Source organism: Homo sapiens, chromosome 8, assembly GCF_000001405.40.
Source record: "Homo sapiens chromosome 8, GRCh38.p14 Primary Assembly".
In the NCBI taxonomy this organism is placed as follows: domain Eukaryota; kingdom Metazoa; phylum Chordata; class Mammalia; order Primates; family Hominidae; genus Homo; species Homo sapiens.
The window spans coordinates 1,863,391-1,890,172 of NC_000008.11; the positions used below are offsets into that span (position 1 = coordinate 1,863,391).

At 49.0% G+C, this 26,782-nt stretch overlaps 1 protein-coding gene across 22 annotated transcripts in view, besides 3 other annotated features; it reads left to right on the plus strand.

The window, feature by feature from the left end:
- Window positions 1–26,782, plus strand: part of ARHGEF10 (Rho guanine nucleotide exchange factor 10) — a 135,313-nt gene that overhangs the window by 40,062 nt on the left and 68,469 nt on the right. For 8 of the 22 annotated variants that reach the window (XM_047422450.1, NM_001438091.1, NM_001308153.3 and 5 more), the window contains 7 exons: window positions 980–1,046; window positions 3,136–3,212; window positions 5,804–5,860; window positions 13,181–13,344; window positions 16,658–16,774; window positions 19,245–19,359; window positions 22,211–22,317. In XM_047422450.1, the coding sequence (XP_047278406.1) occupies window positions 980–1,046; window positions 3,136–3,212; window positions 5,804–5,860; window positions 13,181–13,344; window positions 16,658–16,774; window positions 19,245–19,359; window positions 22,211–22,317 (704 nt within the window). Of the gene's footprint in view, window positions 1–979; window positions 1,047–3,135; window positions 3,213–5,803; window positions 5,861–13,170; window positions 13,345–16,657; window positions 16,775–19,244; window positions 19,360–22,210; window positions 22,318–26,782 lie in introns of those variants that run through there. The other 14 variants (XM_047422454.1, NM_001438092.1, NM_001308152.2 and 11 more) reach the window with 4 other exon arrangements.
- Window positions 1,470–2,302: an enhancer, noted in NCBI's record as "H3K4me1 hESC enhancer chr8:1813026-1813858 (GRCh37/hg19 assembly coordinates)". NCBI's record gives its function as "activates a minimal SCP1, AML or CMV promoter by ChIP-STARR-seq in naive H9 embryonic stem cells {active_cell/tissue: H9 hESC(naive)}" and the evidence as "EXISTENCE:reporter gene assay evidence [ECO:0000049][PMID:30033119]".
- Window positions 9,989–10,700: an enhancer, noted in NCBI's record as "H3K4me1 hESC enhancer chr8:1821545-1822256 (GRCh37/hg19 assembly coordinates)". NCBI's record gives its function as "activates a minimal SCP1, AML or CMV promoter by ChIP-STARR-seq in primed H9 embryonic stem cells {active_cell/tissue: H9 hESC(primed)}" and the evidence as "EXISTENCE:reporter gene assay evidence [ECO:0000049][PMID:30033119]".
- Window positions 17,627–18,126: an enhancer, noted in NCBI's record as "H3K4me1 hESC enhancer chr8:1829183-1829682 (GRCh37/hg19 assembly coordinates)". NCBI's record gives its function as "activates a minimal SCP1, AML or CMV promoter by ChIP-STARR-seq in primed H9 embryonic stem cells {active_cell/tissue: H9 hESC(primed)}" and the evidence as "EXISTENCE:reporter gene assay evidence [ECO:0000049][PMID:30033119]".

The window sequence follows — 26,782 nt, forward strand, 5'->3', positions numbered from 1 at the left end:
TCTCCGACTTTGAGCCAACTGCTGCGGTTTGAAAACGGTTGAGAACTGTTGCTCATTCCAAAGATAAATTCCCTTTAGAAAGTGTTTCATGGACAGCTGCCAGTGTGGCGATGAGCAGCAGCCGCTGAGTGCTGCTGGCTCTCCTTCCCCACATCATTCTTGGTGCCACGCGGCTGGGCGGTGGCAGATTCGTCAAGGGACCACGTGGCCCGCACCCACGCAGTACAGCCATCACAGACTCTGGCTGGCTTCTGCCCAGGAGCCCTCCGAGGTGGGAGGGTCTGCTTCTTCTGCACTGGCGTCTCAGGCTGTCCTTGGATGGTCTAAGTTCGTACCCCACCTGTGTGGAATGTTTGGGAAACCTGCACTGCGGCTTTGCTCACGGCTCACCGTTCACCCTGGAGAGCCACAGACAGGCAGGGAGGAATCGTCAGGCGGGTCGGACTGCGCGTGTATTTGCGTGTGGAGGGATGTGAGCGTGTGCCAGTGAAAGCTGGTGTCACATGTCACAAGCGTAACCACTCCTCTCTTGAACATCTTTTGAGCGTGCCAGGCGGATGCCCCTTCAGGCCAGTCACAGCCGTGGCTCCTGTGGACACATGGAGTGGGAGAGAACATCCCGTTTCTTTCTAACTCTAGCCTGATGCATCTGGGTGCCGGTCACAGCCGTGGCTCCCATGCACATGTGGAGTGGGAGAGAACATCCCGTTTCTTTCTAACTCTAGCCTGATGCATTTGGGTGCTGGTGCAGTTTATTTCTGGCTGTTTCACAAGCCCTCAGTAGATCACATTTTATTAGATTCCAGTCTTGAATACATTTTATCTAAGAGCTAAAAATTTTTAAGTTTATTAATCACCCTTATGCTAAGATAAGCCTCTGATTGATAGGAAAGTGTGAAACCATTTTTAAGGGTAAAAACATCAACTTCATGAGCATTTTTGTCAGGCGTAAAGCAGCATCACATATTTTCTTTCCCAGCAGAAACACCAGAAGTCACAGAAGATCGCCAGCCCAATTCTCTGAGTTCCGAGGAGCCTCCAACCAGGTATCTGCATCCGTCTTCCCACACCTGCTGAATTCCCGCCTTTCTCCTGAGGAGCTGGACGTGGGGATCCTGGTGTGTGTCCCTGCCCGCCATCCTCAGCTCTGCGCGGCGGGAGCTGTCCCAACCCCACCTCCTGCCTCGGGTCCCTCCCAGGCGAGTGTCCCTGGAAATGTAGGGTCAGGACGAGTGGACTGAGGGTCTGATAACTGGGTCTGATTTCAGGCGTCCAGGTGTGTCCAGGCTTGGCCCTTGTCACGGCCCTGCTGTTGCTTTCCCTCATTTGCTTTTCTCCTTTCTATCATGAAGGCGGCCTTTGCAGGGTAAAGCGTCCCCCGTGAAACCGCCTGCAGGCGGGTGGGGTATCTGGGGAGCAGCAGCCACTAGAGCAGTGCTCTTGCCCCAGTTTAAACAGAGTTGTGCCACCAGGTAGGTCCAGCCACGGTTCTCCATTAGAAATTGCAGATTTTATGTAAAATTAAAAATTAGTGGTAGCGTGTTATCACTGGTGATCTAAAATGTATTGTGAAAAATATGTGCATTGAAAATAGGAATTATTTTGAAGAAAATGTATATAGAATGTAGTGTGAGGAAAACCTTAAATGATCTTCAAAAGGATGAAATTTTTCAAACATAGAAATAGTTATGAATAGTTTAAAATAGTGTTTCTGTTTGATTCAGATTTTCTTTTACCTTTTTAGGTAACTTTTTGTTTTGATATTATTTTAAACTTTAAAAGTGCAAGAATGCTCCTTGGTGATGTGATAAGTTCTCAGAGCAGGGGGCTGCATCCTAATTTCACAGGTGCACAGCACAGCACACAGGGCGACCCCAGCACCCATGAGGCCATCACCAGGACATGGGGCATCCCCCAGCACCCAGGGGGCCGTCACCAGGACACAGGGCATCCCCCAGCACCCATGAGGCCATCACCAGGACACGGGGCATCCCCCAGCACCCAGGGGGTGGTCACCAGGACATGGGGCATCCCCCAGCACCCAGGGGGCCATCACCAGGGCATGGGGCATCCCCCAGCACCCAGGGGGCCATCACCAGGACACGGGGCATCCCCCAGCACCCATGAGGCCGTCACCAGGACACAGGGCGTCCCCCGGCACCCAGGGGGCCGTCATCAGGGCATGGGGCATCCCGCAGCACCCACAGGGCCATCACCAGGACACGGGCTCTCTTCCCTCATCCTCAAGGTCCTGCAGGTACCTTGGGGCCTGTTAGAGCTTTTGCTTGAGAAGTCGTCATCGTGGGGTGCTCTGCACGGATTATCACGTGATTCCGTTAGTGACCCTTCCCATAGGAACATTTTCCGAGGCCTTCCATACACGTCTCTGGGTGCTCACTCTGCTTCCGGTCTTGGCCTTCCCAGCAGTGTCTCTGCGCTGCCACCGGGCTCATCCTTGCACAGCTCCCCACAGGACGCGGTGTCGGGACGACTGATCCCTGGTGCATCTCATTTGTCAGCAGTGGTGCCTCTCATGGGGCGATGCTTGGTGTGTGCAGTGAGTCTGACCTCATCATCCTTCCGAGTGGAGCATTCCCGTAGCTACCCATTGCAAAGGATGACACCGCAGTCCCTGTGTGTGTGGGACTCTGGTGGCCCATGTGACCACCCGCTGGGGGCAGAGCACCATGGTTTATGCTGGGTGGCCTTGCATCTCTTTCTCCCACTGACCTGCTCCTGGACATGGAGACGGCCCATTGCCCGCTGGCATCTCTCCCACCCAGCGTTGTGAGCAGGGCCTAAGAGGTCCTCAAAGGGGTGGCTGAAAAACCAGAAGACAGTTCAGGCCTTCTAGGGCAAGGACCGTATTGCGGCTGTATTGCCCTTGCCCGTGTTCTGTGCCGTGCGTAGGCCAAACATCTGGAATACTTATTTACAGAGTTATGAGTGAAAGCTTGAACTTGGGATGTCCTATAATAATAGCTGGGAAAATATGTGATTTCCTGTATAGTAACATATATATATATATTCTGACACACACACACACACACACACACACACTCTGCAGGGCAGTTGGCATCCTAGTGACTTGGGCTGTGCCTGGATATTCTGACTTTATGGTTTGTTTTCTTTAAGTGAAGATCAAGTCGGTCGAGAGGACAGCGCACTTGCCCGCTGGGCCGCAGACCCGGCCAACACAGCCTGGATGGAGAGTAAGTTCCCCAGCTGCCCACAGCCAGAATCCTCACCACGCTCCACAGACGTCACTGCGGCGGGGCCGGGTCCCTGAGTCTCAGGTCCCATCAGATCTAAAACTCTAAAAAGATGTTTATTTACTGAAAATAGTAACATGGGCTGACTGTGCAGAAGTTTCCCCGGGTTCCCTGAAGCTGTCACTTCCCGTGAGGCCACCCCAGCTCTCCACGTCCACGCACTCACTCTTCCTGGTCGTTTCTTTCTAGCACAGGCTTTATTATTATGGTAACAGTGAGATATGTGGGTAACAGAAACTCTGACCTGCAGCCATGGTCAGCCACCACCCACACGCCCACCCTGCGCTTGCCTGTGATTCCCAGGGAGATGCAGTGTCTGGCACCCGTTTTGAAGAGGGGGCGGGTGGGCCTCCCTTTTTTTTTTTTTTTTGTCCCATACACACTTTATTTTACATAACTTGGTGTTTTCTTTTATCTAATCGTACAAATTTAAATGGGGATTCCCGAATAAATGTTTTGTTAATTTACCTTTGGCAGAAACAACAGATTCCAAAACATTTAGTAGCCTCTTATTTATTTGTAACTTAAAAATAAGTTCTGTAGCGTATTTTTCCAAAACAATAGCCTGAAGCAAATGTGCTTGAAAAGCTAATTGGTAATGATCTGATTAATATCACAGCTTATTTAAGAGAACTATTACTTAAAGGACAGACTAGACATGTATTTTGACAAAAACACAATTTTTGGTCACGTGAATGATTCGTGTTTAGATTTCAAAAACAGGAAACATCCAAAAGTGCATCATTTTATTTATAATCTCACTCCTTGAAATGAGAGCAGTCTGCAACGTAAACAGAGCAAAGAATTCCAAACTCTATTTTTATGTACATTTAAACCTGTAGGATTATGTCCCGTCTCTGTGTGGATTAAAGCGAGCGCATTTCCAACACGCGGCTCCAGCTTCCGTACAATTCAGAGTAAACCTAAAGGCATTCTTTCTCCCTTTAAGTTGGCTGAGCCAGCCCCCCTCCAGGTGGCCAGATCTGCAGTCCCACCTGCGGCTTCAAAGGCTGAAAGATTTTTAGCTAGATTTACTTGTTTTTTTTAATTTTTAAAGGAAAAGCAAGATTACTTTCCTGATTATGCCTCTCATTATCCACTGGCTCACTAATTTCTATGTTACTGTTTCATATGATCAACTTACAAGGTAGAACCATCTTAGTTACCTCCTGATTATTAAACTGCCTCCTGGAAGTTTTCATTCTGGTTTCAATTATGACGTTGTTAAAACAAAGATCTTAGTGTAATTAGATGATTCCGCTGTGTGCCTATTAAAGCAGGATCGTTACAGGATTAAATTATTGTCTTGGCTGTTTGCTAACAGTTTTATTTCCGAGGTAAAATTTGTCTGATTTTTTTCTCATTACTCATTTTTATTACCCAGATGGCAGTGAATTGGAATAACTATATTTGGAAATATGATCTCTAAACTAGCAGTCTCTGAACATTATCTAAGAGGAGTAGAAATCTTTACTGTGGTTGCAGATAGTAAATGCTATTAAAAGAAAGAGCGTCTGTAATACTGGAGCTTGACAACAGCAGCAGATAAGGAATTTTCCTGAATTTTTATTTCCTGCTAGTGTGGGGACAGGAGTGGTGGCTGGATGTCAGGGGAGAGTTCGGGTTTGTTGGTCTCATTTTCTGTCTTATGTGGCTGAGGAAGCGGTTGTCTGTATGTTTTTGATGCAGTCATATGTCATAGTTTGGACGTTCTCTTGCAGGGAGGGCACCGCTAGTCAATGAGTGGAACCTCGATTTAAAGGTCTTTTTATGAAACGGATTTTCATGTGAAGCGTGTAACTCTTACAGATATTTGAGTAAACCTCAGGCTCATTGTTGGTGTCCTGTGTGGTCATCTCATACAGCACGGTTTTGCTTACAGAACTTGCCTTCTTTTTTATGAAACGGTTTCACTTTCACAGAACCCCAGTGTTGCACGTGATACAGATTGAGAAACACTGTCCTATATGTTTAGCATTTTGATACTTGCTACTACTTTTTACTTTCAGTGGCACAAAATTATGGTGTCATTGGTTTATTGGGATGGTTTTCCATTGTATCCAGCACTGATGGGCTCTTTTCTTATTTCTGGAAGTCTGTGTGCCACCGTTGTATTTTTTTGTGCGTCAGAACGTCAACTTCATAAGCTTAAAATACTCGTCAGAGAGCCATATAGAAGTGTGTAATTGAACACAAAATCATAGAATAAGTTTGACCTGGAAACCATAAAACTCCTTCCTAGTGACATTTTACAGCTGGTCCATTTAAAGAGACATCCTTCATTCCCAATAAATTATTCTGCCCTAAAAATAATGCTTATGCTTTGGTAAGGTGCTGTTAGCTACCTTACAGCCCTCATTGTCTACTAGTTGGGACAAAGAACGAAAAAGTAAAAAATAAAAAAAAAACTACCCTTATAAACCAACTTTTTGAATAATCATGACATCATCGGCGACTGTGGCCCTGTAAAATTTAAATTGCACTAGGTTTTGTTGGTCACTGTTTAAAGTGTTTCTCCCCGTTTATTGCAGATCCAGAGGAAGCAATTTACGATGACGTTCCAAGGGAAAACTCAGACTCTGAACCAGGTTTGATTTTGTCTGGAATTGATTTGAGGAGATTCAGCTCAGCAGCCTTTCCCTCTGGATGCCAAAGTGACTATTTAGTGGACGGCCCAGACGTTTTCTGTATTCATGTTTTGTATGTTGCTTCTAGAATGGCTTATTGATGTGTGGTGGAATATTGGTGTTTGTGCACATATGTGTGTGTGCTTATAACCCTTGAAATAGGGCAGTTTAATCTTACTTATCCCAAGCAAACAGAGGAGTAAAGGTACAGAAAATGCCGGCAAAGAGGTAGGAAACACAGAGGCTGAGAAGCAGCAATGTATATCGAATAAATGACATCAGTGAGAAAGTAGAGAGAATCAGGCAAAGGTAATAGTCAAAGAAATAACTAAGAATTCTCTACAATTAAAGAAAAACATAAATTCTCAGATTTTAGACATAGAGATTCAAAGCAAGATGAATTACACGTTGATCCATACCTAGGCCGATGCAATGGAGGCCGCGGAGCACCAGGCCCAGGGTGAATCTCCCGAGAGCAACTGGAGAGAAAACATGGCTGCCTACACAGGAACCGCTATTCCACTGACCCACAGGCTGGGGGCGGGTTCTCAAAGCGAAGAAGGACGTGGCTCTTTTAACCTGAGCGGCCACGTCCAGCAAAGTACAGTCCTTTAGAAAGGGCGATGGGCCGCAGGAGGCAGAGCGGGGGAGCTTGCTGCCCATAGAATCTAAGGAAATAGTTAATGATGCACTCGCTGCAGGGAAGAGCACACTGAACCACGGAGGAGGTGACAGGGGCCCGGAGGGAGTGGGGAGCCCGGGAAGTGTCGGGCGTGTGGAGAGTCGATACCAGCACCGCTCAAGACAGCGCTGATAGTGCCGATTGAGTTTCAGATGCAGCCGGAGCCCCAGCCAGTGCCGACTGAAGAGGAGGGTGACCGTTCATGCCGTGTGTTCTGAAGTTCTGAAGTCGGCATTTTTCAGGGGGAGGATCTTGTTACCGATTTTTTTTTTTTTTTTTTTTTTTTTTGCTATGGATTGGTCCAGTTTGCGTTTTATGGGTAACTGCTAAGAAAATAGGAATAGATTATTTTAACTTTGAAACCAGTAGTGCAAAACCCAATCTGGTAAATGCAAGAAAATATAAAATAAGAAAGCTTTGCAAATCATATGAGAAAAGACTGCAAAATAAGTACAAACATATTGGTACGCATAGTAAAGTGCATCCTATTGCCAGTAAAAGAAATCCTCAGATTGGATAAAATAGCAAAGCTAGCCATAAATTCTTGTGAGAGATACATAAGAGTACAGAAGATTTGTAAGTAAATGGATGGAAAAAGAAATATAATGCAAATTCTAACCAAAGTATTGTCAGTATAACTATAATAATACACTAAATGTTAAGCCATAAGCAAGGAATAATTCATGAGGAAGATATATAACAGTTCTAAACTCATATGCACCTAACAGCATAGCCTTAAGATATATAAGCAAAATATAACAAGGCTTAATCAGAAATATGTAAATACGCTGTTGGGGTGAGAGATTTTAAGAAAACTGTCTCTGCTATTGACAGATCCTGGACATAAAATCAGTAAACCGGCCAGGCACGGTCGCTCACGCCTGTCATCCCAACACTTTGGGAGGCCAAGGTGGATGGATCACTTGAGGTCGGGAGTTCAAGACCAGCCGGGCCAACATGGTGAAACCCCATCTCTACTAAAAATACAAAAATTAGACAGGCGTGGTGGCGGGCGCCTGTAATTCCAGCTACTTGGGAGGCTGAGGCAGGAGAATCACTTGAACCCAGGAAGCGGAGGCTGCAGTGAGTCGAGATTGTGCCACTGCTCTCCAGCCTGGGAAATGAGTGAAAACTCTGTGTCAAAAAAAAAAAAAAAAAAAAAATCAGTAAACCATAAAAGATTAGAACAGCAATGTAGTATGATTGACTTGAAGGTCATATACAGATCTTTGAAGCAAGTAGTTCCAGAATATGTATTTTTTTAAACACATGAAATATTTTAAAAAATTAACTATATAGTATGCCTCAAAACAAATATTAACAAATGCCAAAGAATGGATGTTCAGACCTTATTTCCTCATAATAACTGAATAAAATCAGTAAAAAAAAATCAATACAAACATTTAGAAATTAAAAATGATATACTACTCTGTAACTCATGGTCAAAGATAAAATGGAAATGAAAATATTTTGTCTTGAATAATAATAAAAACATTACATAAACTATATGGGATAGATTTTAAAGTCTAAGGAATTATAGACATAATGGCATATGTTAATAAAACAGAATGGGCGCGGTGGCTCACACCTGTAATCCCAGCACTTTGGGAGGCCGAGCCGGGTGGATCATGAGGTCAGGAGTTCAAGACCAGCCTGGCCAAGATGGTGAAACCCCATCTCTACTAAAAGTACAAAAATTAGCCGGGCATGATGGTAGGCACCTGTAATTCCAGCTACTCGGGTGGCTGAGACAGAGAATTACTTGAACCCGGGAGGTGGAGGTTGCGGTGAGCCGAGGTTGCACCACTACACTCCAGCCTGGGCAACAGAGCGAGACTCCCTCTGAAAAAACAAAACAAAACAAACAACAGAGAGCAGTGAACTGAGTATCCAGCCAGCTGCACGAAAGAGCAGCAGAGTCAAAGGAAGTGGCAGGAAAAAAATAATGGGCAAGGCAAAAATGATGAAATAAAAATCCAGGAAGCAACATAAAGTATTAACAAAACCAAAGGTTGGTTCTTTAAAAATAGTACAAAAATAGACAAGCCTCTGGTTATATTAAGATGACACAGAGAAAGAGGGGAGAGGGATGGAAGAAGGAAGGAAGGAAAGGAAGGAAGGAAAAAGTTGATCAAGAGGATGTAACTGCAGTAGAAATTTGTAAAAATCATAAGAGGATGCTATAAATAACTTTTTATCAAAAAGTTAGATGAAATTAAAAATTGCCTTGAAGAATCAACTATACCCAAAATAAAAACCATGAATAAACCTATAATGATCCAACATAATGAATGGTTTGCTTAACTACTGTGCAGAACAGCCCACCAGGCTCAGATGTTTTTATGCTGGGGTTTATTGAGCCTTCAGGGAGCGGACAAACCCCTCAGTCGCATGCACTGTTCCAGTGAATAGCAGAAGCAAGGATGAGGTGAGAATTAGTTTATAATGTTAGCAGAAACTTGTAAACTCCCTCACCTGCGAAGGTTGATGCTACATTTCCTTCCAGAAATGTCAGGAAGTTGAATCCAGCATGACCCTAACAAGTAAGCAAGAGCCTGTTTTAACCTTTTACATTCATGGCAGCAGTTCAAGGATCCTTTGAGAAGCTCTTGTAACACGATTTCCCCAAATTGATGGACATAAACCCATATGCTTATCTCAGCATGTGTTTAAAAAGCACTTGCTGAGATTCAGTGACCATCCAACATTAAAAACTGCTGATAGAAGGAAACTCACTTAGCTGAATTAAGGACGTGTTCTTAAAATCTACCGCCAACGTAATGGGGAGGAGCTCACGGCGTTCGTTAATTTATTCATTCCGCAAATATGTTTTGGGCAGTTACATACCGAATAGTAGATGGAGGTGTGCCTGCTGTCATGGAGATAGGGTGATTTCATCCTGTTGATCAGGAAAACTCCTAGGTGCTTGCAGGTAAATGTGCCACAAAGAAAGTGAGGACCAAAGGTTAGTTGATGTAAAAACAAGTTTGAAATGCATTTTGGGGTAATTTATCCGGTCGCTTCGGGCATTCCTCGCGGAAGGCGTGGTCTGGTGACTCAGAAGCCAACACACTGCGGGAGTCCAGCCGTCGGCCCCCTGCCGTGTGGCGAGGCCCAGTGTGTCCCCTTTGTAAGGACAGCACAAGCAGGAGTTAATGGACCGGCCATCCATAGCGGTGGTGGGGCAGGGAGCCAGTTTCCGAAAGAAACTCACGCCGCCGCAGGAGGGCCCTGTGGGATGCTCTGTGCAGAGCTGTTGTGCGGACCGGGAGACGGGAAAGCCTGGTGGCTGCAGGAGGGCACCGTGCAGAAGTATCCAGTAAACCACCCACAGCACGGCAGCAGAAAAACGAGGAAATTATATGTGTGTATGTTTATAAGAACTCAGAAGCAATGGTGAGCAAAAAGCAAAAGCAAGAGGAGAAAGTCACAGTGTGCTGGCATCAAGTTGCATTGAGAGGAGCCCGCGGGGTAGTGCACCCGCATTTCCTCGTTGCGTTGAGAGGCGCCCGCGGGGTAGTGCACCCGCATTTCCTCGTTTGAGAGGCGCCCGCGGGGTAGTGCACCCGCATTTCCTAGTTGCCTTGAGAGGTGCCGCGGGGTAGTGCACCCGCATTTCCTAGTTGCCTTGAGAGGTGCCCGCGGGGTAGTGCACCCGCATTTCCTAGTTGCCTTGAGAGGTGCCGCGGGGTAGTGCACCCGCATTTCCTCGTTTCATTGAGCGGTGCCCGCGGGGTAGTGCACTCGCATTTCCTAGTTGCCTTGAGAGGTGCCGCGGGGTAGTGCACCCACATTTCTTCACTCGTTTAGAGTTCGGGGCTCTCAGAACACAGGGAGAATATGGGAGAATTCCTTACTAGATGTTACAGAGGCCACACAGGGCCACTTTTTTCTTTTTTTTTTATTGTGTCAGGTATACGTAAATATTCCTTTCGGTCAGTTCAGCACGTAGGACTGAGTGGCATTAGGTACGCTCACTGTACAGCCAATGCCTCCATAGGCCACTTTTTAAATACGCGGGGCTAAGGGCCAACGACAAGATTGTCATCGAGGACAATAAGTCGATGGCGCTGCCTGGTCACTGGCTTGGTCAGAAAACACATGCCAGGGTGACTGGATTTAACGTTCAATTTTAGAACCACAAATCTGCCAGCCCAGGCATTCAAGAGGAAGTGAGTAATTCACTGAATTGATGGTTAGCAAGACCCTTCAAAGTCCTTGGAAGTTCCGTGTTTGCTGGGGGTCACAACAGCAATTGCGTTTCTAAAACATTGAAAACCACCCGTTTTTCACACATCTGAATAGCCTGAGTTCTAACAGACCTAAGTAAAGGCGTCCAAACGTGCCTGATCCTGTGGCTGGGTCCCAGGAGCCTTAACAAGGCATTGAGAGAGCTGGATTGATTGATTAGACTCTTGCCAACTGCTGTGCGGAATACAGAAAATGCAGCTCCAGCTCTCAAAGGGCTGAAAATCTAATTGAGGTGAAAAAGGTAACATGTGTGAAAACCATGTCTGTGTAGACTTGTTTTGTATGGACCAGAAAAGTTGGAAGTCCAGAGATGGATGCGAGGAAATAGGGGATGGAGTTTCCTTATAACCTCTGGAGGGACAGTCCAGATACATACCGGGGTGTGTAGCGGGTGGAGGTTCTAAGACAGGCTGGAGGAACAGTGCAGACACACACCAGGGTGTGTAGGGGGTAGAGGTTCTAAGACAGTCTGGAGGGAGAGTGCAGACACACACCGGGGTGTGTAAGCAGTGGAGGTTCTAAGACAGGCTGGAGGAACAGTGGAGACACACACCAGGGCGTGTAGGGGGTAGAGGTTCTAAGACAGGCTGGAGGAACAGTGGAGACACACACCACGGCGTGTAGGGGGTAGAGGTTCTAAGACAGTCTGGTGGGAGAGTGCAGACACACCCGGGGCCGTGTAGGGGGTACAGGTTCTAAGACAGTCTGGTGGGAGAGTGCAGACACACACGGGGCTGTGTCGGGGATAGAGGTTCTAAGACAGTCTGGTGGGAGAGTGCAGACACACACCAGGGCGTGTAGGGGGTAGAGGTTCTAAGACAGGCTGGAGGAACAGTGGAGACACACACCACGGCGTGTAGGGGGTAGAGGTTCTAAGACAGTCTGGTGGGAGAGTGCAGACACACCCGGGGCCGTGTAGGGGGTACAGGTTCTAAGACAGTCTGGTGGGAGAGTGCAGACACACACGGGGCTGTGTCGGGGATAGAGGTTCTAAGACAGTCTGGTGGGAGAGTGCAGACACACACCAGGGCGTGTAGGGGGTGGAGGTTCTAAGACAGGCTGGAGGAACAGTGGAGACACACACTGGGGAGCGTAGGGGTGCTTTTCTCTGAGTCCCCTAGTACATGGTAGAGGCTGTAGACCCTCCGCTCTTGGGCACGTGGGTAGGCTCTCAGGATGACTCTTGGCTCTTGGGCATGTGGGTGAGCTCTCAGGATGATGCCCAGCCCCAAATTTCAGGCAATTGTGCAAGGACTTGACCCATTCATCCGCTGAGCTGAGTTGCTGAGACTGCTGGGTGCCCGGGTGGTGATCATTGTCCGTGGCACACAGAACACACTGCAGCTTCTGCAAAGTGAGCTCATTTCACGCATTTTATGGCTTTGCCAGGCTGCTGTTGACCTGCCAGAACTTTTAATCAGACATTTGGAGGACCTGTTTTGTAGTCAGTGGAGAAATATTACAAGGATAGGGTAATTTGAAATATCTAAGGATTGTAAGTGACAAGTTCATGTCTAATTTTGCATTTCCAGTGAAAGCAAGTGTTGGCTTTGAATGTTACTTATGTGCTGAGATGTGTATATTCCTCAGTGCTTAATTACTAAGGATTTTTAAGGCCAAGTTTTGTTACAGTGAATGACTGTGGATGCATAAAGAATAAATTTAATATTTTTAAGGCATGGAGATTATTTGTATCTAAGAAACCAGGTAAAATAAAGAAACATTTATGCTTGTGTGACTGATAAAAGAGTTAGAGAGACACTCATATTCTGGGAGTTTGAAGAATGTCATTTTCATTCTCTAAAAGTCTTGTTAGTGTCACAGCATTGAAAATTTAAAAATCCGTGTGTATTTTCTTGCTAGTGCTGGTACTTGAATATCTGTATCATCCACCTATCCATCCACCTACCCATATTTCTATAATCCACCGTCCATCGACATGCCTATCATCTGTCCACCATTTCTCTCTGTCTAATTTTCAAAACATCCTGTAAGTTTATATAAAGGAAGATTTTTCTTCTTGTGAAGTTCTCTAAGGCTGACAAGTTACCTGGCATGACTGTGGCGGATGCCCATAGCCAGGTGGTCCTCGGGGTACAGATGGGGCAGGGGCACTTGTGAGAAACACCTGAAGTGCTTTTCCCCAGCCTCCCCGGCCCTGCCCGGGTGGTGGAGGCGCTGCACGGTGCCTTCCATGGAGCAAGCCCGGGGCTCCGCAGGGTCCTCAGCATGATTCAGATTTCCTTCCACCCCCAGCTCTAGATGATTTGGTAAAACCACAAACAGGCACAAAACAGCCCACATGGAATTCTAAAGTTTTAATTTCATTTTGGAATTTATGCACTCAGATGAAATGATTTATGATGATGTTGAGAATGGGGATGAAGGTGGAAACAGCTCCTTGGAATACGGATGGAGTTCGAGTGAATTTGAAAGTTACGAAGAGCAGAGTGACTCGGAGTGCAAGAATGGGATTCCCAGGTCCTTCCTGCGCAGCAACCACAAAAAGCAAGTACGTGTTCCCTGCACATGTGAGGGATGGTTCTCTCGCGTTAACACGGACAGGGGGCTGTGAATATGATTGTGATCCACCTAGTACTTCATAGTGATTTGTTAAGATGCTGATAAGTAGTTTGGGGAAAGCATAAGATATTGGCAAAGGAGAAGACGTGTCTTGTTTCATATAGTTAAGTATCGTCATGGAAAGATGGAGAAATTAAGCTTCTATAATCCACTTAAAAGGTCTTAAATGAGCTCACCACCTTGAATAAGAAAGTAGTTATTCTCTGAATTGCTTGTGTTTTAATGTATTATGTGCTTTGCACGTAGCACCGTTTGCGGAACACTGAATAGATGGGATCGGGGTTCCCTAAGACACAGCACATCTGCACTTTGCTTTAAGTGAGGTTTCAACTTTAGCATGTTCAGCATGAAAAGGAAGACGTAAAAATAGAAGATGTTAAGGGACAAAAGCTTCTAAACTGACCTGTGACAATCCTTTCTTTTTTCTTTTTCTTTTTTTTGAGATGGAGTCTCGTTCTGTCTCCCAGGCTGGAGTGCAATGGCGCAATCTCAGCTCACTGCAATCTCTGCCTCCCAGGTTTAAGCCATTCTCTTGCCTCAGCCTCCCAAGTAGCTGGGATTACAGGTGCCTGCCATGACTCCTAGCTAATTTTCGTATTTTTATTAGAGATGGGGTTTCCCTATGTTGGCCAGGCTAGTCTCGAATCCCTGACCTCAGGTGATCTGCCCACCTCGGCCTCCCAAAGTGCTGGGATTGCAGGTGTGAACCACCACACCCAGCCGGATGATCCTTTCTTACAGGGAATTTTTATTTTACTTTTTTTGTGGAAAAGTCTTGAGATTAGGGTGTGAGGTGGGATGTCAGAGCTGTAAGGCGTGAATTCTGGAATTGGGTGGTTGTGAGTCATGGAACCCAGGAACCATTCAGCTGAGGCACCTCCCAGGTCTCGGTGGTGCCAGGCCGTGCCACCGGTGTTTTGTTAGAGTTTTTTTTGACTGTTTGTAAAAGGATAGATTTGTGCTCATCTACAGTGATGTCTGTGTACTTTCTGTGTGAGGCTGAGATGGAAGCCACACGCAGTCCTTGTCTGAGGCTGGCGAGTCCCGTGTTACTGATAGAGATGGTGAACGGATGCCCGCCATAGTGACAGTTGTCGATAACCGGTGTTATCCCTCCGGTCCCCTAGTAACCCCCAGTAAGCGGAGATTTCATTCCTGGACCTAGCTGCCACGTCCCTATGGTTTACAAGTGATTATGGGCTGCCTACAATTCTCATATTCTGTGAACCTGGCTCGTGAAACTCAAGGAGAATCTACTAGATCTTGGCAGTCAGCTCACCTACCCAGTTTCATTCACAAGTTCTTCCAGGAATTAGATCTTTTCTGCCACCGTCATCATTACAACTGCGATTTAAACAACCGATGAAGCTGCAATTGTAGTTTTTCGGGTTTTTTTTTTCTTTGAAATGGAGTCTTGCCTGTCGCTCAGGCTGAAGTACAATGGCGTGATCTCGGCTCACTGCAACCTCCACTTCCCAGATTCAAGTAATTCTCCTGCCTCAGCCTCTCAAGTAGCTGGGATTATAGGCACCTTCCACTACCAGCTAATTTTTGTATTTTTAGTAGAGACGGGGTTTCACCATATTGGCCAGGCTGGTCTCGAACTCCTGACCTCGTGATCTGCCTGCCTCAGCCCTCCAAAGTGCTGGGATTACAGGCATGAGCCACTGCACCCGGCCTGCAATTGTAGTTTTTAACAGCTGATAACTGAGGTGATATTTCGCTTGCTGTAGCTGAGTCAGACACTTGATTTAAACTGAGATTTAAGAAGAGTGCTGGGCTCTGACATCACAGATGGAGGCTCGGTGTGTGCCTCGGAGCGTGGGTTAAATGCTCTTCAGTTTCGCCTTCATGGTGGGCTGTGGACAGAGGGGCCAGGCCACTGAGGAGCCGAGAGGCATTAGTAGTCACTCCTTGGTAGTAATTCAGGAGACCCTGCCCTTGCTTTGGAGCGGGCCCGTATCCCAGAGGAGCCCTTGACTGTCTGGGCAGTGCCAGTGGTTCAGCAGCCCTCCCTGCTGGGCGAAGGAGCTGGGGAAAGCCAGCACACAGTGGGTTTGTGGTGCAGAATTACAACCCGGGAGCGCTGGGCTCTGCATTTCCAGCCTCTCCTACACGTCCATGTTGCCAGGACAGTGGCCTGGACCGGGGGTGGGAATACTGTGTGGGGTGCAGACAGGGCGCCCGTGTGTTAGGCCTGTCCAGGATGGAAGTGCTGCAGGCAGCACCAAGTTTTCTCGTTCAAAGGGTCACATTTTAAAAACGACCAAAATAAAACTATATGTTGTTCAAAAGTCATCTCAAAAAATCTCGAATTTTGTTAAAAACTTCCTAAAGTGTCTGTGACATGAGAAATGCCCCGAGACGAGCCAGTGGGGCCTCAGCCACGTGCATCTGAAGTGTCTGTGACCACACGGAGAAGGATCCAGGGGGTCCCCAGTCCCGTCAGTTAGAGAGAAAGTGATCTCAGGTTGGAGACCCTTGAAAATCCGTGCTGCCATCCCCAAAATATGTCACTTTCAGTATAGTTTAAATACAAGTATCTTTTGCTTGGATGCCAACATAAAAAATGATTTTATGTATTTTTATTTATTGGATAATTTTTATTCCACCAAAATGTAAACGAATGATTTCACAGATATTTTGTGTGCGTGCATTTGCTCCTGTCTAGCACAGAGAAGACCCTAGCCTGGTGTCTGGATAGTGTCTGTCTTTTGATGCCATGTTTAGCTCATTTCTGCATTTATCTCTCTTTTTTTTTTTTGGAGACAGGGTCTTACTCTGTCTGCCAGGCTGGAGGGCAGTGGCACCATCACGGCTCACTGCAGCCTCCACTTCCCAGGCTCAAGCAATTCGCCCACCTCAGCCTCCTAAGTAGCTAGGATCACAGGCGCGCACCACCCTACCTGGCTAATTTTTGTAATTTTAATAGAGACAGGGTTTCACCACGTTGCCCAGGCTGGTCTTGAACTCCTGAGCTCAATTGATCCTCCCACCTCCGCCTCCTAAAGTGCTGGGATTACAGGGGTGAGCCACTGCGCCCAGCCAACTATTTGTGCATTTATCTCTCAAGGACCAACTGGGCTAGTAATGGGGACTCTCGCGTGTGGTCCCAGAAGCCCCCAGCCAGGACAGGCCTGATGTGCCACTGCAGACGCTGCCAGCATCCTCTCAATGTAAAATTGTCCCAAAGAACCAAAAAGAGCCTTTTTGTGAAAAGACTGTGTCTCTTTATGCTGTAGCTTTCTCATGACCTAACCCGTTTAAAGGAGCACTATGAGAAAAAGATGAGAGATTTGATGGCAAGCACGGTGGGCGTGGTGGAGATTCAGCAGCTCAGGCAGAAGCATGAACTGAAGGTAGAGTCTTGCCCCCGGCCGCTGCCCCCACTTGCCAGCCGGGCAGTAAAGAAAAACCGCGCGGCTCGGTCGGTCCTTGCTGTCTCAACAGCGGTTCTCAAAGGGTGGTCCGGGGCTCCTGGAATCCCCCGACGCTTTGGGGCTCACGTGGACTCTGAGACGCTCTGTGCCTTTCACTGTCTCCCTCTTACGGGGAACCCAGGAACATTCTGGAGGCTCCACAGCTGTGGCCTCACCGCTGGCGGAATGCCATCTGGCTGTCTACTAGAGAGGGGTTTCCAGAAACGCACAATGCCACTTTCTGTTTGTTTTGGAAAATACAGCAATTTTTCATCAATGTTATTTAAGATAACATGTAATAGGTTGATTATTTTTTAAATGAACATTTATAAAAATATCCAAAATTTTTCAGCGTTTTAACTTCAAATGCAGTAAATATTGATACATAAAACCCTGGTAAACAAAAGCCATTTGGGCTCTCCATAATTTTTAAGAGCGTCCAGGGCCCCTGAGACCGGAATGCTTGAGAACTGCCGGACCTGAGTGTCGTGACAGTCTGTTCTGAGCGATGTCTTTTAAAAGGGCACTGTCAAGTACTGTTTCCTGCAATTGGACCTTTTATCCTGCTGGTATTTTGTGATCATTCATATGTGTTGAATGGCACTCACTGGAAAGGGATGTGCACTCCACACAGCTTCTGGAGCAGCCGGCTCATCCGCCCTGTTGTGCTTGGGCCATCAGAAGCCACAGCCACAGCCGCCCCCTGGGAGCCGCGTTACCCCCTCACATGCAGCATCTGGCTGGCTCCCCTGCAGGGTGTCTGATGGGACCTGCCGGAGGCTGCAGGCAGTGTGGCGGGGTTTCTGAGGAGTGGAGGGCGCCATCAGAACCATGGGAGGGGTGTGTGAGCTACATTTGGAGGTTTTCACAGACACGGGGAGTGCCCTGGCTGAAGCAGGTGAGGGCACTGTGGGAAGTGGGAAAGGAAGGCTGGGGAGGCAGCCAGGGCTGGGCCCAGCACGCTCGCTTCCCCTGGTGAGAACACCCCTGTGTCAGCCCTGAGATCCGGGAGTCCTGGCCGAGGCTGTGACCTGGAACCCGGGGTCTCACCTGCTCTGGGGCTCAGGGAGCATGGCGGCCCTCCAGTTTGTCAGTTTGCAGTTCTCTGATACTCTGTCCGGGGACCCTGAACGGCGCTGGCTGAAAACCAAGGGTTCACAGCCCAAATCTGGGGTTGAGAAAGAGCAGGATGTAGACAGGCTGTGCAGGACGGAAACGCGCAGGCGGGCAGGGCTGTCTGCGGCATCGGGCGGGAGGCAGGGGACATGGGTGCAGGGGCCAAGGAAATGGCAGCAGGACATGGTCCCATGTGGGGTTGGGAGATGCAGGAGCAGGGGAGCCCCCGGGGGATGGGGGACAGCATTGCAAGTGATGGAGATGGGCTGGGGCAGGCGACGCGGGTGTGAGGCCGTGCGTGTTGTGTGGTGTTCATGGTGAACGCTTCAGGAAGGCAGCCCTCAGGCGTTTGGAAGTCCAGGGCAGGCAGACACGGCCAGGGCTACAGCGACGCTGTCTGCACGCTGGTGCCCAGCAGCCCTGCTCCTCACGCGGTGGTGTGACCCAGATGAGGAGAGCCTGGTTCTCAGCTGCACTGCTGGTCCCTTTGAGAGGTCCCTGGGATGGGGACATCGGTTGTCCCATAAGAGATCATCTTTTAAAGACGAAATCACTCAGCGTCCAGTGGCCAGTACCTCAGATGTTGGGTTTTTAAGGAATAAGAAATCAGATGGCAGGAGACGCCTCAGACGCCCCTGAGTCTAGGCAGCCGTGAGTGTCCAGCACAGCTCTGGCCGAGGAAGTGGAGGCAGGGAGCCCCAGGCCAGGGGGACATGGCTTCCGAGTCTGACATCCGCAGCGTGCTGCACCCCGACCCTCCCTCAGGTGTGTCCCGTGCGTGTCTGCAGCATTTGCCAGGGTCTTGCATTCAGCCCCGTGGCTGGAGCTGGGTCCGTGTAACCATGCGTGTGAGGCGGCCCTGTCAACAGCTGGCCATGCCCCCACATGGGGTGCAGTGGGAAGCCCCGGGGAGGTTAAAAGGCTGAACTGGAGCTGTGAGCGTCTGCAGTTAGTTGTTTTGCCATTTAATTCGAGGCGAGTTGTTTGACATTTGTGCATGTTAGTGACTCACCTGTGACCCCCACGTAGCTCTTTGTGTGAGTGGATCACATATAATACCATAAATGGGGCAGGGAACATGTTTCACCATGTCCAGGAAGGGCTGTATTTTTAAGGTCTGTTTTTTCCTTTTTTCCAACAAACAAAACCAAAACAAAACCTAGCCCAGAACTGCACGTGACACATGCGCTCACAAGAACCAGACTACTTGACAGTATTCTTTTAAAACAGGCAAATGAAAGTCGCAGGTGGGTTCTGCCGCCGTCCCGTTCTCACATCTCCCTCTCCGTCGCAGATGCAGAAGCTCGTGAAGGCCGCGAAGGACGGCACCAAGGACGGGCTGGAGAGGACCAGGGCAGCCGTGAAGAGGGGCCGCTCCTTCATCAGGACCAAGTCTCTCATCGCACAGGGTCCGTGCCTGCAGGTCTTCTTGCGGGGAGGACACGGGGTTGGGGGGGGCGGCCACATCTTGTGGGGAGGACTCGGGGTGGGGGGCGGCCGCGCAGGCTCCCACAGCCTTAGGGAGCACCAGCCTGCTCAGTGCTTGGGTCTGAATCAGCCCTGCTGACCCCAGCCTCCCCGTCCTGCAGGGGTGGCGTTTTAGACCGAGGGCACCCAGCAGCAGAGAATCATTGAGAATCATTGAGAATCACTGGCTGGACATAGGAAGGGCTGTGCAGGGGCCTCTGTCACTGTGGATTCTTAGTATTGGACTCTGTATTTATAGCACATTGGCCCTCCTGGGCATGGTCCCGCAGGGACTGAGGTCGTGAGCGTCCTGAACTGGCATTTCAGGAATCTTTTCCTTGGTGAGGGGAGATTTGGAGTAGACAGCTGAAGTTCCAGGTTTTTCTAAACATCTAACGAAGGCGCAGTGGTCTGTGCAGTTATGTGTGGAAAAGGCAGGTGGTGTGGAGGTGTCGTGCACGGCGGCAACAAGCAGCAGGCTGGGGTCATTTACCGTCCGAGGAGACTTCTCGGAGCCTTTGTGCACGGATGTCCTAAGGTCGAGTTACGGGAGGGTGACTGAGACTTCACTGTCATACAGGGGTCGCTGTGACTCTGACCTGGCATTTCCTGGTTGTTTCTCCAGCTTTCTAATGTGCCTGTCTGGTGCTAGGACGTGGGTAGCATTTGCTAATATCTGTACTTGGAAGGGACTTTGCAGTCACGTTGTCCCTCAAGGAACGGCCTCGGATACGATGTGTAATTGGTATGACATGGTGTAACTCAGGAGGCCTTTTCCTCTTTCAGTCCTAATGAAGCCCTCGGCATCTCAGACAAGGTGGGGGTAAGCTGTCAGCATCCCCGAGGGGTTTATTTGGTGATGGAGACGGGCAGGTGCATTCTAATAAAATGTGCAGTAGTATCATGCCCTGATGAGGTGCCATGAGGTGCTCAGGGCAGCAAAGGACAGCCTTTGAGGAGGTGGCCATATTACACAGCCCCTGGAAAGCACAGGCAGCTCTGTCCAGTGAGGAGTTGGGATTTGGGGCCACATTCACTGCCTCAAGGAGTGTGTCTGCCACCAGCAGCAACCCCCCAACTGGAGCCCAGATTCCAGGAGCTGATCACAACTGCCCACCTGGAGCCCATGCCAGGCCCCTGAGCCAGGATTTGCAGGCTGGCAGAGTCCCCCGGGACTGGGTGTGTGGGACAGTCTGAGAAGCCCGGAGTCAGCCCCTGGGAGCAGGTCATGCTTTGTCTCTGGTTTAGGGGTACTCTTTTGCGGGTCAGTTGTAGAGATGCGGCAGTTTAATAGGCAAATCCTTGGCCGGGCACGGTGGCTCATGCCTGTAATCCCAGCATTTTTGGAGGCCGAGGCGGGCAGATCACGAGGTCAGGAGATCAAGACCATCCTGGCTAACACGGTGAAACCCCGTCTCTACTAAAAATACAAAAAAAAATTAGCTGGGCGTGGTGGCGGGTGCCTGTAGTCCCAGCTACTCAGGAGGCTGAGGCAGGAGAATGGCGTGAACCCGGGAGGCGGAGCTTGCAGTGAGCCGAGATTGCGCCACTGCACTCCAGCCTGGGCGACAGAGCAAGAGTCCATCTCAAGAAAAAAAAAAAAAAGGGCAAATCCCTAACCTCCCAACCCGAGTTTCCTAAGCCATAAAATGAGAGGCTTGGACAGAATTTCGTTCTTCGTCCTGGTTGTACCTAAGAATTAACTAGAAAGCTTTTAAAACAGGCTGGTGCCAGGCCCTCCTTCCCTGGCTGATCCGTTGATCTCTGAGGGAAAAGTCTGGGCATCAGTAGGTTTTAAAGCCCCTTAGATAGATGTTTCTGTGCAGCCAGGGTTTGGGATCTTTGAACTAGAAAAACTCAGGTTTCTATCATCTAAAAGTGCCTGTGCTTTTCTGATTTCCAGCCATTTTGTGGATGCTTTAATGTAGTTAGCTGTGTTTTAAAAAAATGAATGTAGGCGTTTTCTTGTTTTTTAGAGACAGGGTCTCACTCTGTCGCCCAGGCTGGAGTGCAGTGGCACGACCACAGCTCACTGCAGCCTCCACCTCCTGGGTTCAGGCGATCCTCCTGCCTCAGCCTCCTCACTAGCTGGGAGTACAGGTGCTCACAACCATGCCTGGCTAATTTTTAAATTTTTTGTAGAGATGGAGTCTTGCTATGTTGCCCAGGCTGGTCTTGAGCTCCTAGGCTCAAGCGATTCTACCATCTCGGTCTCCCAAAGTGCTGGGATTAGGGGAGTGAGCCACCCCACCCAACTGTGAATTTAGTTTTTGTTTAAACTGTTTTGAGTTTTGGAAAGCTGTGCTTCTTAAGGCATCCAGTGAGAGAGACAGAAGAAATATACTAAGTGCCACCTCAGTTTTCAATGACTTTTGACTCACCTCAGTTTTCAATGACTGTTCTTAGCCATTCTTAGCTGTGTTTCCTTGTTTCTGATTGTGATATTTTATAGATTAAGAAACTAAAATATTTAATTTAGGAAATATTCTAAAACACTAAGATTCCAAAATATTGCCACTTTGCTATCTAGCTATTCAAATGGCACTTCTCCTTTTTGAAGTTAAACTTTAAATACTGAAAATTTTAAATACAGACAAATATTGTATTACCCTCTGGAAAGAATATTTTATTGGATTTGTTAAAAATTCAACTTAATAATAGCTGGGTGTCAAGTAAGCATGGAAAATTGAAAGGTCTACACAAAATATTTATTTGACTTTTTTTTACTGTACTGTAGTGTTGTGAATATATTATTTGAATGTAAAATTCATGCATTTTGACTTTTTTTTTAAGATCACAGATCTTCTCTTGAGGAAGAACAGAATTTGTTCATTGATGTTGACTGCAAGCACCCGGAAGCCATCTTGACCCCGATGCCCGAGGGTTTATCTCAGCAGCAGGTGAGATGAGCAGAGCTGACAGGGGCTGTTGACCAGCAGAGCTGTGCTAGTTTTTAAATATTTGTGTGTTTGATGCTGGTTGGTAAATATTTGCTGTCTCAAACTCTGCATCCACTCGGGCCCTCCACTGTAGGTTCCTGGCCCAGCACTTAGAGGCTTACTGCTGGGCTCAGCAAGGGTCTGGGGGGACGCTGGTCAGCAGCTGTGGCCTGGACTCAGGCCCTTCTGGTCCTTAAATATTTTGGACAGCACCCCTGCCCCTGAGTGTAGCTGTGAGAAAGGGGAGGAACTTGCATTCTTCGTGGGAGTCAGTCACACAGTTTTTACTTTCACAGAGACAGAGTGTGGGTTTGTATGGTCAGTATGTGTATGTAGCTACCTGAGACTGAGATGAAAATGACAGATTTTCAGTAACTAATTAAATCTGAATATAATGCATTTCTTAAAAATCTGATACTCAGTAGCAGAAGGGAAAAAATCAGTGGTTTTCATTGGATTGTCTTAGGGTAAAAGGAAGAGAAAACTTGAGGAACCAGAGTGACAGCACCAAGTTTGCAGGCCTTTAGCAGCAGGGGCTGATACTTTGGGATGATGGGAGTTGTTTCCCACATGGGCAGCGAGGTGCAAATCATGGACACCAGGATGGATAGGCAGACATATGTGTAATCCACGGATCTGGGGAGATCCCTGATACAGGTAGGCAGATAGAGCAAGAGAGAGCATTGTCAGATTAAAGACAAACAACACAGAAATGCTTAGTGACTGGCCAGGTTTAAAAAGAGATGAAAAGGGATACCTGCGAGCTGTTCATAATTGACCAGGCTGAAATAGGAAGCTTACATTTCAGTGGAATTGAACAGCGATGACTGAAGTATTAGTTTTGTCAGCAGCATCACACGAGTGACGGGATGGAGTGTCAACAGAGCTTGGAGACAGTTGTTGAGGAGCTGTCACTCATGGGTGTGCATGCTCTGTGCAGGCCCCGTGCCCGGTCCCTGGTGTGTTTCACTGCATTTCATCCTTGCAAATCCCGTTGCCATCCTTGTGTACTCTGTAAGGAAGCCTGGACTCGGAGGAGGCTGATCATCAGAACTGCATCCTCCAGCTATGCGAGGAAGGGGTCGTGTCTGATCTCAGTCTCTCCCATCGCAGCCTGCTCCTAACCTGTCTGTGCTCACTGGGGCCATGTGATCTGGGCTGCCACACGTCCAGGGGGGTGGTTGACAGCCTTTACCAGGAACAGAGGATCTAGCGCTTTCTCCTGTGCATGCTGTCCAGCTCACCCACCTCACTTCATGCTCAGGAGTTATAAAAGGGGTTCATGGCTGAACACCTTCTTGCCAGTCCTATGAGGCGCTCAATAGGATGACACGCTGGCCAGTCCTCTACTATCTGGGGCCCTCACTGCATGTGGGGTACCTATTCTGGTGAGGACACACCATGTGAGAGGAACTTGGATCCTGCACTCTGAGAACTTACTGTAGCGATGAAGCCGAAAACCAAAAATAGCAAAAGAAGGGAAAAGCACAGGGGAAATGCTTCCTAGCAGATGAGGGACTAAACAGGAATCATAACAGGAGTGTGAGTGACTCAGGACCAGAAGAGTCAGGAGACCTTGAGGACACATGGCCCAAGCCAAGACAGCGGCCTGAGCTGAAGACCAGTGGGCAGGATGCGGGGGTGAGTGTGAAAGAGGCGATGCCAGACCCTGAGTGGGGTGTGAGGGGTCTGTGAGGAGATACTGAGTGGGGTGTGAGGGGTCTGTGAGGAGACACTGAGTGGGGTGTGAGGGGTCTGTGAGGAGACCCTGAGTGGGGTGAGGGATACGTGAGGAAACACTGAGTTGGGTGAGGAGTCTGTGAGGAGACTGAGTGAGGTGAGGGGTCTGTGAGAAGTCCCTGAGCAGGTGAGGGTTGTGAGGAGACTGTGAGTGAGCTGAGAGTCTGTGAGGAGACACTGAGTGCAATGTGAGGGGTCTGTGAGGAGACAGTGAGTGGGATGAGGGTTTGTGAGAAGACGCTAGATGGGATGAGGGTTTTGAGGAGACACGGAGTGGGGTGAGGGTTGTGATGAGACAGTGAGTGGAGTAAGGGTTGTGGGGAGATGCTGAGGAGAGGTGAAAGTTCTGAGGAGACACTGAGTGGGATGTGAGGGGTCTGTGGGGAGTCACCAAGTGCCGTGAGAGTTGCAAGGAAACACGGAGTGGGGTGCGGGTCATCAGGAGACAGTGATTGGGGTGAGGGGTCTGTGATGAGACACTGTGAGTGGGGTGAGAGTTGTGAAGAGACAGTGAGTGGGGTGAGCTTTGTTAGGAGGCACTGAGTAGGGTGAGGGTTGTTAGGAGACAGTGAGTGGGATGAGGGTTTATGAGGAGACACTAGGTAGGGTGAATGTTTTGAGGAGACACTTAGTGGGGTGAGGGTTTGCGAGGAGACACTTAGTGGGGCGAGGGTTGCGAGGAGACAGTGAGTGGGGTGAGGGTTTGCGAGGAGACACTTAGTGGGGCGAGGGTTGCGAGGAGACAGTGAGTGTGGTGAGGGTTGCGAGGAGATGCTGAGTGGGGCTGTAGGTTCTGAGGAGGGGTGGGGTGAGGGTTTGTGAGGATATGCTGAGTGGGATGTTGACTGTGAGGAGACACTGAGTGGGGTGAGGGTTGTGAGGAGATACTGAGGTGATAGTTTTGAGGAGACAGTGGGGTGAGAGTTGTGAGGAGACACTGAGTGTGGAGGGCTGTGAGGAGGCACTGAGTGGGGTGAGGGGTATTGAGGAGACACTGAGTGGGGTAAGAAGTCTGTGGAGATACTGAGTGGGGTGAGGGGTCTGTGAGGAGACGCTGAGTGGGGTGAGGTATGGGGAGACACTGAGTGGGGTGTGAGGGGTCTGTGAGGTGTCACTGAGTGTGGTGAGGTTTGTGAGGAAACACAGAGTGTGGTAAGGGTCCTGAGGAAACACTGAGTTGGGTGAGGGTTTGTGAGGAGACACTGAATAGGGTGAGGTTTGTGAGGAGACACTGAATAGGGTGAGGTTTGTGAGGAGACACTGAATAGGGTGAGGTTTGTGAGGAGACACTGAGTGGGGTGAGTATTGTGAGGAGACACTGAGTGGGGTGAGAGTTATGAGGAGACACTGAATAGGGTGAGGTTTGTGAGGAGACACTGAGTGGGGTGAGAGTTATGAGGAGACACTGAGTTGGGTGAGGGTTGTGAGGAGACAGTGGGGTGAGGGGTCTGTGACGAGACACTGAGTGGGGTGAGGGGTCTGCGAGGAGACACTGAGGTGTGAGGGGTCTACAAGGAGTCACGGAGTGCAGTGAGAGTTGTGAGGAAACATGGAGTGGGGTGCGGGTCATGAGGAGACAGTGATTGGGGTGAGGGGTCCGTGAGGAGACACTGAGTGGGGTGTGAGGGGTCTGTGAGGAGACACTGTGAGTGGGGTGAGGGTTGTGAGGAGACGCTGAGTTGGGGGGTTGTGAGGAGAGCGTGGGGTGAGGTTTATTAGGAGACACTGAATGGGGTGAGGGTTGTGAGGAGACATTGAGTGGGATGAGAGGTGTGAGGAGACACTGAATGTGGTGAGGGTTTGTGAGGAGATACTGCATGGGGTGAGCTTTCTTAGGAGACACTGAGTGGGTAAGAGTTGTGAGGAGACACTGAGTGGGGTGAGGGGTATGTGAGGAGACAGTGATGTGAGGCATCTGTGAGGAGACACTGAGTGGGGTGAGGGGTCTGTGAGGAGACACTGAGTGGGGTGAGGGGTCTGTGAGGAGACACTGAGTGGGGTGAGGGGTCTGTGAGGAGACACTGAGTGGGGTGAGGGGTATTGAGGAGACACTGAGTAGGGTAAGGAGTCTGTGTGGAGACACTGAGTGGGGTGAGGGGTTTGTGAGGAGACACTGAGTGTGGGTGAGGGGTCTGTGAGGAGTCATGGAGTGTGGTGTGAGTTGTGAGAAAACTCGGAGTGGGGTGAGGGTCGTGAGGAAACAGTGGGGTGAAGGTTTGTGAGGAGACCCTGAGTGGAGTGAGGGTTGCGAGGAGACATTGAGTGGGATGAGGGTTGTGAGGAGACACTGAGTGGGGTGAGGGTTGTGAGCAGACACTTCATGGGAGGAGGGTTTGTGAGAAGACACTAGGTGGGGTGAGGTTTGTGAGGAGACACTGAGTGTGGTGAGGGTTTGTGAGGAGACACTGCATGGGGTGAACTTTGTTAGGAGGCAGTGAGTGGGGCGAGGGTTGTGAGGAGACACTGAGTGGGGGAGGGGTATGTGAGGAGACACTGAGTGATGTGAGCAATCTGTGAGGAGACACTGAGTGCGGTGAGGGGTATTGAGACACTGAGTGGGGTAAGGAGTCTGTGCGGAGACACCGAGTGTGGTGTGAGGGGTCTGTGAGGAGTCACCGAGTGCCGTGTGAGTTGTGAGAAAACGGAGTGGGGTGAGGGTTTGTGAGGAGACACTGAGTGGGGTGAG